At 38.3% G+C, this 10,484-nt stretch overlaps 1 annotated feature.

Moving 5' to 3' along the window:
• Nucleotides 209–740: an enhancer, noted in NCBI's record as "OCT4-NANOG hESC enhancer chr1:196078321-196078852 (GRCh37/hg19 assembly coordinates)". NCBI's record gives its function as "activates a minimal SCP1, AML or CMV promoter by ChIP-STARR-seq in primed H9 embryonic stem cells {active_cell/tissue: H9 hESC(primed)}" and the evidence as "EXISTENCE:reporter gene assay evidence [ECO:0000049][PMID:30033119]".

Below are 10,484 nucleotides of genomic sequence, written 5' to 3'. Positions count from 1 at the left end.
GAACTTTTTTGTTTCCACATGGAATTTAAAGTAGTTTTTTCTAATTCTGTGAAGAAAGTCAATGGTAGATTGATGGAGATAGCATTGGATCTATAAATTTCTTTGGGCAGTATGGCCATTTTCATGACATTGATTCTTCCTATCCATGAGCATGGTATGCTTTTTCATCTGTTTGTGTCCTCTCTTATTTCCTTGAGCAGTGATTTGTAGTTCTCCTTGAAGAGGTGTGGGGAAAAGAAAGAGAGATCAGACTGTTATGGTGTCTATGTGGAAAGAAGTAGACATAAGAGACTCCATTGTGTTCTGTACTAAGAAAAATTCTTCCGCCTTGAGATTGCTGTTATTCTGTAACCCTACCCCCAACCCTGTGCTCACAGAAACATGTGCTTTGTGGACTCAAGGTTTAATGGGTTTAGGGCTATGCAGGATGTGCTTTGTTAAACAAATGCTTGAAGGCAGCATGCTTGTTAAAAGTCATCACCACTCCCTAATCTCAAGTACCCAGGGACACAAAACACTGAGGAAGGCGGCAGGGACCTCTGCCTAGGAAAGCCAGGTATTGTCCAAGGTTCCTCCCCATGTGATAGTCTGAAATATGGCCTCATGGGAAGGGAAATACCTGACTATCCCCCAACCCGACACCCGTAAAGGGTCTGTGCTGAGGAGGATTAGTAAAAGAGGAAGGCCTCTTTGCAGTTGAGATAAGAGGAAGACATCTGTCTTCTGCTTGTCCCTGGGCAATGGAATGTCTGCGTGTAAAACCCAATTCTGTATTCCATCTACTGAGATAGGAGAAAACCGCCTTAGGGCTGGAAATGACACATGCTGGAGGCAATACTGCTCTTTAAGGCATTGAGATGTTTATGTATATGCACATCAAAAGCACAGCACTTTTTTCTTTACCGTGTTTATGATGCAGAGACATTTGTTCACATGTTTTCCTGCTGACCCACTCTCCACTATTACCCTATTGTCCTGCCACATCCCCCTTTCTGAGATGGTAGAGATAACGATCAATAAATACTGAGGGAACTCAGAGACTGGTGCCGGCGCGCGGGTCCTCCATATGCTGAGCACTGGTCCCCTGGGCCCACTTTTCTTTCTCTATATTTTGTCTCTGTGTCTCTTTCTTTTCTCAAGTCTCTCGTTCCACCTGAAGAGAAATGCCCACAGGTGTGGAGAGGCAGGCCACCCCTTCAAAGAGGTCCTTCACATCTCTTCTAAGTTGTATTCCTAGGTATTTTATTCTTTTTGTAGCAATTGTGAATGAAAGTTCATTCATGATTTGGCTCTCTGCTTGTCTGTTATTGGTGTGTAAGAAAGCTTGTGATATTTGCACATTGATTTTGTATCCTGAGATTTGCTGAAGTTGCTTACCAGTTTAAGGAGATTTGGGGCTGAGATGATGGGGTTTTCTAAATATAAAATCATGTCATCTGCAAACAGAGACAATTTGACTTCCTCTCTTCCTATTTGAATACACTTTATTTCTTTCTCTTGCCTGATTGCCTTGGCCAGAACTTCCAATATTATGTGGAATAGGTGAGAGAGGGGATCCTTGTCTTGTGCTGGTTTTCAAAGGGGATGCTTCCAGGTTTTGCCTGTTCAGTATAATATTGGCTGTGGGTTTGTCATAAATAGCTCTTATTATTTTGAGATATGTTCCATCAATACCTAGTTTATTGAGAGTTTTTAGCATGAAGGGCTGTTGAATTTTGTTGAAGGCCTTTTCTGCCTCTATTGAGATAATTATGTGGTTTTTGTCATTGGTTCTGTTTATGTGATGGATTATGTTTATTGATTTGTGTACGTTGAACCAGCCTTGCATCCCAGGGATGAAGCCGGCTTGATCGTGGTGGATAAGCTTTTTTAATGTGCTGCTGGATTTGGTTTGTCAGTATTTTATTGAGGATTTTTGCATCAATATTCATCAGGGATATTGGCCTTCAATTTTCTTTTTTTGTTGTGTTTCTGCCAGGTTTTTGTATCAGGATGATGCTGGCCTCATAAAATGAGTTAGGGAGGAGTCCTTCATTTTCTGTTTTTTGGAATAATTTCAGAAGTAATGGTATCAGCTCCTCTTTTTACCTCTGGTAGAATTCGGCTGTGAATCCATCTGGTCCTGGGCTGTTTTTGATTGGTATGCTATTAATTACTGCCTCAATTTTAGAATGAACTTGTTATTGGTCTATTCAGGGATTTGACTTTGTCCTTATTTAGTCTTGGGTGGGTGTATGTGCTCAGGGATTTATCCATTTCTTCTAGATTTTCTAGTTTATTTGCATAGAGGTGTTTATAGTATTCTCTGATGATAGTTTGTATTTCTGTGGCATCAGTGGTGATATCCCCTTTATCATTTTTTATTGTGCCTATTTTATTCTTCTCTCTTTTCTTTTCGTTAGTCTGCCTAGCTGCCTATCTATTTTGTTAATCTTTAAAAAAAACAGCTCCTGGATATATTGATTTTTTGAAGGGTTTTTCATGTCTCTATCTCCTTTAGTTCTTCTCTGTTCTTAGTTATTTCTTCTCTTCTGCTAGCTTTTGAATTTGTTTGCTCTCACTTCTCTAGTTCTTTTAATTGTGATATTAGGGTGTTGATTTTGGATCCTTCCTGCTTCTCATGTGGGCATTTAGTGCTATAAATCTCCCTCTGAAGAATGCTTTAGTTGTATCCCAGAGATTCTGGTGCATTGTATCTTTGTTCTCATTGGTTTCAAAGAACTTATTTATTTCTTCCTTTGTTTCGTTATTTACCCAGTAGTCATTCAGGAGCAGGTTGTTCAGTTTCCATGTAGTTGTGTGGTTTTGAGTGAGTTTCTTAATCCTGAATTCTAATTTGACTGCATTGTGTTCTGAGAGACTGTTTGTTATAATTTCCATTCTTTTGCATTTGCTGAGGAGTGTTTTACTTCCAATTATGTGTTGATTTTAGAATAAGTGTGATGTGGTGGTGAGAAGAATGTATATTCTGTTGATCTGGGGTGGAGAGTTCTGTAGATGTCTATTAGGTCCGCTTGGTCCAGAGCAGAGTTCAAGTCCTGAATATCCTTGTTAATATTCTGTCTCGTTGATCTGTCTAATATTGACAGTGGGGTGTTAAAGTCTCCAACTATTATTGTGTGGGAGTCTAAGTCTCTTTTTAGGTCTCTAAGAACTTTTTAATGAATCTAGGTGCTCCTGTATTGGGTACACGTATATTTAGGACAGTTAGCTTTTCTTGTTGCATTGATCCCTTTATCATTATGTAATGCTTTTCTTTGTCTCTTTTGATTTTTGTTGGTTTAAAATCTGTTTAATCAGAGACTAGCATTGCAAAGAAAATGGCCTTTGCTTTTTATAGGTAGCATTATTTTTTGTAGCAGAAAATGTTTCTTAAATTTCTCCATAATTTATAAATCTTAAAAATGTTGCAGGGTGACAATTATTGGCAAAAATCCGTTAAGTTGTCAACTTGGATAACAGAAGCTATTGTTTATCAGTTTATTACACAAAGCCTTTTCAGCATCATGTAACATATTATCATGTGACTAATTGAATATTACAAAAGTGGAATCTTTTCTGTTTTTTTCTAGCACATCTTCATCTAGAATGCTGGCACTAATAGATTCTCACCAACTATGTGCTTTTGCTTTTCAGGCAATAACTTTTTCAAAATAGCTTGCTTTCTTAACCTGTTAATTGTCCAATTGTTTTAAAAAGCCTTACTCTGTTTTGAGATTCCAGTGTTTGCTTAAAATATTTAGCACCTTTACTCTTCAAATGCTGTGATCTTTAGTAAGCTTGCTTTACAACTATGCTGGAGTAATTGCTGCATATCTTAGTTGTTTGTCACAGACAACACACAATAGAATAGGACAACGTGAATCAGCAGCCCATGTAAGACTCAGTAATAAGTGATTTTCCTTGTAACAGAAAGTTTGTTTCGTGTCCTCTGTTACACTAGTGCGGTAAAAGAACTTGAAATTTGTAATTACTAATTACTAACATTACCAAAATTATTTTTCATCTTAGATCTAGAATTCTCTTCTATCTCACACATTATATTCAAAATAAGCACATTGAAACATCAGACATGTTTGTAAAATGCAAACCCTAATGAATATAAATCAGAAGGGCAAACAAGTGAGAAAATTAAAAATATGAAACTTCACAATACAATTTACTTCTAATCTACATAATCATATTTTGTAGCACCCAGAACAACAGCAAAATGGCACGGCAGCTGGATCACAGTATGTAAAAATTCCTTCTTCAGGATTAAAATTTTCCTCTGATTTTTTATTATAGGAGCTGTATTGGTCCATTTTCACGCTGCTGATAAAAGCATACCCGAGTCTGGGAAGAATAATAGGTTTAATGGACTCACAGTTCCACGTGGCTGAGGAGACCTCACATCATGGCGGAAGGCGAAAGGCACTTCTTATTTCTTTTTCTTTTTTTTTTTTATTATTATACTTTAAGTTCTAGGGTACATGTGCACAACGTGCAGGTTTGTTACATATGTATACATGTGCCATGTTGGCGTGCTGCACCCGTTAACTCGTCATTTACACTAGGTATATCTCCTAATGCTATCCCTCCCCTCTCCCCCATCCCACGACTGGCCCCGGTGTGTGATGTTCCCCACCCCGTGTCCAAGTGTTCTCATTGTTCAATTCCCATCTATGTGTGAGAACATGCGGTATTTGGTACTTCTTACATGGTGGTGGCAAGACAGAATGAGAAAGAAGCGAAAGCAGAAACCCCTTATAGAACCATCAGATTGTGTGAGACTTATTCACTATCTCGAGAACAGTATGGAGGAAACTGCTCCCACGATTCAATTATCTCCCACTGGGTCCCTCCCAGAACACATGGGAATTATGGGAGTACAATTCAAGATGAGATTTGGGTGGGGACACAGAGTCAAACCATATCAGGAGTAGAGCATGTTTTCTTCTGTAATTAAGTGAACTGTATGCAAGAAAATTCAAGGGAGCTAACTGAAGATGGAATAGCATCATCAGCCATTGGCTCCTCTGTACAATAAAGTACTCATAAGTTATCAAGTCTCTTCCACTGTGCATCAAAAACAAGAAATGGACTCAGCCAAAGGAACACAGTCCTATATGCAGCCAAATGGGAGCTTAATATCCTCTACTACAACTGCTAAATAGGCTATTCAGTCATTGTGCATCATTATGAGCACTAGCATTAAGTGGCAAGTAAATATATGTTTTTGTTTGATCATGTTCTCTAACGAAATCACTAGTGATATCTTGCTGAAATTAGGGTACGGTGGAACCCTGGTTGAAAAAACACTAGCTGCTGAAAAATAAGGCATTTAAATTTTGTCATTCCATATAAACATTTAGAGATATTTTTCAGTAAGTGTTTAAAATTGAAATAGTAAAACAATGTGAGATAAGATATGCAATATTTTTTCTTGGTATTTGCATATTTGAATATATATATGAAATATTTTACTGAATTTGAGTAAAGTGTTTAAATTTGATAATTATTCTTTAAAATAGATTTTTGTCTTAAAATAAAATGAGTAAAGAATAATTATTACTGATGATTGCATCTTAACTTTTTAAAAATTCATTTGAAATATATTTTTTGAAAACATGTTGAATATAGCAAAACATTCTGATAATATATTGAACTAAGTTAATCATTTTTAACTTATCTTGTTTCCAGGATTTATCTTGTTTTTGCATTACTATAGATAGAAATTCCAGAGACATAACATACAGTTATTTTATTTTTAATTTTTGGGGGGTACATAGTAGGTGTATGTATCTATGGAGTACATGAGATGTTTTGATACAGGCATGCAATGTGAAATAAGCACATCATGGAGAATGGGATATCCATCCCCTCAAGCATTTATCCTTCGAGTTACAAACAATTCAATTACATTTTTTAAGTTATTTAAAAATGTACAATTAAGTTATTGACTATGGTCACTCTGTTGTGCTATAAAGTAGTGGGTCTTATTTATTCTATTTTTTTTTTGTATCCATTAATCATTCTCACTTCTCCCCAGCCACTCACTGCTCTTCCCAGCCTATGGTAACAATCCTTCTACTCTGTATGTCCATGAATTCAACTGTTTTGATTTTTAAATACCGCAAATAAGTGAGAACATGTAATGTTTGTCTTTCTGTGCCTGGCTTATTTCAGTCAACATAATGATTTCCAGTTCATCCATGTTGTTGCAATTTACTTGATCTCACTCTTTTCTATGGCTGTATAGTACTCCCTTGTGCATATGTACCACATTTTCTTTATCCATTAATCTGTTGATAGACACTTAGATTGCTTACAAATATTTGCTATTGTAAACAGTACTTCAACAAATATAGGAGTGCAGATATCTCTTTGTTGTAATGATTCCCTTTCTTTTGGGTATATATGCAACAGTGGGCTGACTGAATCATATGGTATCTCAATTTTTAGTTTTTTGAGGAACCTCCAAACTGTTATCCATAGTGGTTGTAGTAATTTACATTCACATCAACAGTGTACAAAGAGTGTTCCCTTTTCTCCACATCTTCACCAGCATTTCTCATTGCCTATCTTTTGGATATAAGCCATTTTAACTGTGTTGAGGTGATATCCTATTGTACTTTTGATGTGCATTTCTCTGATGATCAACAATGTTGAGCACCTTTTCCTATGCCTGTTTGTCATTTGTATGTCTTCTTTTGAGAAATGTCTATTCAAATCTTTTGCCCATATTTTGATTAAATTATTACAATGTTTCTATTTTTTTTGAGTTCTTTATATATTCTGGTTATTATTCCCTGTCAAATATTTTCTTCCATTTTGTGGGTAGTCTCTTCATTTTGTTGATTGTATCCTTTACTGTGCAGAAGCTTTTTAACTTGATGTGATTCCACTTGTCCAAGTTTGCTTTGGTTGCCTGTGCTTGTAGGGTATGACTCAATAAGTCTTTGCCCAAATTAATATCCTGGAGAATTCCTCCAATGTTTTCTTGTAGTAGTTTTATAGTTTGAGGCCTTAGGTTTAAGTCTTTAATCCATTTTGATTGGATTTTTATGTATGGCGAGAGATAGGGGTCTAGTTTCATTATTCTTCATATGGTTATCTAGTTTTCCTAGCATCATATATTGAAAAGATTATCTTTTGCCCAGTGTTTGTTCTTGGCACCTTTGTCAAAAATGAGTTCACTGAAGGTTTGTGGATTTGTTTCTGGGATCTCTATTCCCTTCCATTGGTCTGTGTGTGTATTTTTATGGCAGAACCATGCTGTTTTGGTTACCATAGCACTGTAATATAATTTGAAGTCAAGTAATGTAATTCCTCCAGTTCTGTGATTTTTGGCTTAGGATAGCTTTGGTTATTTTGTGTGTGTGTGTGTGTGTGTGTGTGTGTGTGTGTGTGTGTGTGTGTTTCAATAAAAATATTAGGATTGTTTTTTCTATTTCTATAATGTCATTGGTGTTTTGATAGGGATTGCATTGAATGTGTAGATTGCTTTGGATAATATGGACATTTTAATAATACTGATTCTTCCAATTCATGAACATGGAGTAGTTTTCCATTGTTTTGTGTCCTTTTCAATTTTTTTATCAGTGTTTTATAGTTTTCATTATAGAGATTTTTTACTTCTCTCATTAAGTTAATCCATAGGTATTTAATTTTATGTGTGGCTATTGTAAATGGGATTACTTTTAATTTTTTTTCACATTGTTCACTCTTGGCATACAGAAATGCTACTGATTTTTATATGTTGATTTTGTGTTCTGCAACTTTACTGGGTTTATCAGTTCCAACAGTTTTCGTGTTGGAGTCTTTAGGTTTTTCCAAATGTAAGTTCATATTATCTTCACACAGGGATAATTTGGTTTCTTTCTTTCCAATTTGGATGCCTTTTCTATCTTTCTCTTGTCTAATTGTTCAAGCTAGGACTTCCAGTACCATGTTGAAAAACAGTGGTAACAGTGGGCATTCTTTTTGTTTTCCAGATCTTAGAGGAAAGGCTTTCATGTTTTCCCCTTCAGTATAATACTAGCTGTGGGTCTGTTGCATATGACTTTTCTTATATTGGTGTATGTTCCTTCTATCCCCAGTTTCTTCTACAAGCCTGTAGCCTTGAGTTAGGCAATTATAACATCTTAGACTGGAGTCCCCACGGCCATTTGCAGGGTGACCTTACTGGTGTCTTCATCCATCATCGCATCAATCACAGTTTCATAGCCATGTCCTGTTCTCCTATGATTTGGGCCAATGGGGGGATGGGATATCCCGGACTCCAAGTAAAGTCCACATCACCCCAAGACATTTTATGGTGCCTGGGACACCATAAAGCCTGATGCAAAAAAACGGAAAAGGTCTGGAGGTTCTCATAGCTTCAGTAAGAGATTTGGCTTAAGGCAGCCTAATCCTCTTACCTTGAGTTAATAGCTTAAAGTAGGTATAAAGGAATATAAGGGAGTTTATCTAACGAGCTTGTTTACTCATGTGGTCCTAAGACCAACCTTTGATCATTCATAGGACTGCTCTCTCTGGGGAAGGGCAACGAGGTTAATTACTCACAGGTATGTTGACTAAAAGCCTTTGTCATTAAATCTGTGCTGAATAAATGCCGGCAAGGCCAGCTAGTCAGCACACAGCTGCCACAACTCTTTCTGTGAGTGGCCCAGCCCCCTGGCCTGCTCTTTTACTGAATATCTGTGTCTGAGTACGTTATTCATCTGTCATGCAGCCTGGGTCTGCAGGTCAGACCCTGCCACTATGATGCATTCTTCAGTATGCTAATTGCATTTTCAACTCTAGATTTTCTGCTTATTTTTAATCATTTCAATTTCTTTGTTAAATTTCTTTGATGGCATTCTAAATTCCTTCTCCATGTTATCTGTAATTTCTTTGAATTTCCTCAAGACAGCTATTTTGAATTCTGTATCCGAAAGGTCACATATATCTGTTTCTCCAGAATTAGTAACTGGTGCCTTATTTAGTTCATTTGGTGAGGTCTTATCTTCCTGGATGGTGTTGATTCTAGAAGATGTTCTTCAGTGTCCGGGCACTGAAGAGTCAGGTATGTATTACAGTCTTCACTGTCTGGACTTCTTTGTAGCCATACTTCTTGGGAAGGCTTTCCAGATATTTGAAAGAGCTTGGGGGTTGTCATCTAAGCTGTATCTGCTTTAATGGGGACCCCACGCCCAGTAACATTGTGGTTCTTGTAGATTTTAGAGGTACTGCCTTGATGGTTTTGAACAAGATCCAGGAGAATTTTCTGGATTGCTAGGCAGTGTGACTCTTGTCCTCTTCTCTTACTTTCTCCAAAACAGTCTCATTCTCTGTTCTGAGCCACTTAAAGCAAGAGGTGGAGTGACATGAGCAATGCTGTGGCCACGACTATGACTGCACTGGGTGAGATGTAAAGTCAGCACAGCACTGGGTCTTACCCAAGGCATGCTATAACTGCTCCCTCGCTACTGCCATGTTTGCTTAAGGTCCTGAGGCTCTACAATCAGAGGGTGGCAAAGCCAGTCCAGCCTTCATCTTTCCTTTCAGGGAATTTAGGTCCCCTATGCCCTAGGTGGGTCCAGAAGTGCCATCTGGGAGTCAAAGACTAGATTAAAAACCTTAGAAGTCTAGTTGGTACTTTACTGTACTGTGGCTGAGCCACCATCAAACCACAAGATACAGTTCTTACTTGTTTCTTCCCTTTCCAAAGGCAGAGGAGGCTCACCCCATAAGCCACAAGGAGTATTGCCAGACTACTGCTAATGTTCCCCTAAGGCCCAAGGTCTCTTAAGTCTCTTGTGAATGCTGGCAGGCCTGGGACTTCAAGGCAGTGGGGTCCCCTCTGGCCCAGTGTAAGTCCAGAAATGTCATCCAAGTATCAAGTCTTGGAATCAGAGAACCGACGAGCCCACTTGTTACTCTACCTGCCTGTGGCTGTGCTAGTACCTAAGGTGCAAGATAAAGTCCCCTTTACTTTTTTCTCTGCTTTTCTCAAGCAGGAGACCCTTCCCTTAACCATATCTAGTAATGTGCTGAGTCTCACCTGAAGCCAGTTTCTCTGAGGCTCACCAAATGTTCTTGATGTAGTACCTGGGTATTGCTGCTGGTTATTCAAGAACTGAAGGCTCTTCAGTTAACAGGTGATAAATGCTGGCAGGAATGGGTCCTTTCCTTCAAGGCAGTGGGTTTCCTTCTGCCCAGTGTGTGTCTAGAAATGTCATCTGGGAGCTAGGGCCTGGGATGGGGGCCTCATGATTCTGACAGTTACGCTATCCTGCTGTGGCTGAGCTGCTCTCCAAGATGCAAGATAAAGTCCCCCCCACTTTTCCATCTTCTCCCCTAAGCAGAAGGAAGAAGTCTCTATTGGTGTGTTGAGCTGTGCAGCCTGGGGTTAGGGGATGGGTGATTCCAGCACTCCTTTGGCTTCCCCAGGTGGTATCTCAGAATGTCACATGCTTCCCCAGTCCACTGTCTCTGAGCCAGGTTCAGTGCTAGGGCTT

The sequence above is a fragment of the Homo sapiens genome, chromosome 1 (assembly GCF_000001405.40).
Source record: "Homo sapiens chromosome 1, GRCh38.p14 Primary Assembly".
Classification (NCBI taxonomy): Eukaryota; Metazoa; Chordata; class Mammalia; order Primates; family Hominidae; genus Homo; species Homo sapiens.
Note: the sequence above shows the minus strand (reverse complement) of the source record. Positions and strands in the feature narration are given on the sequence as shown.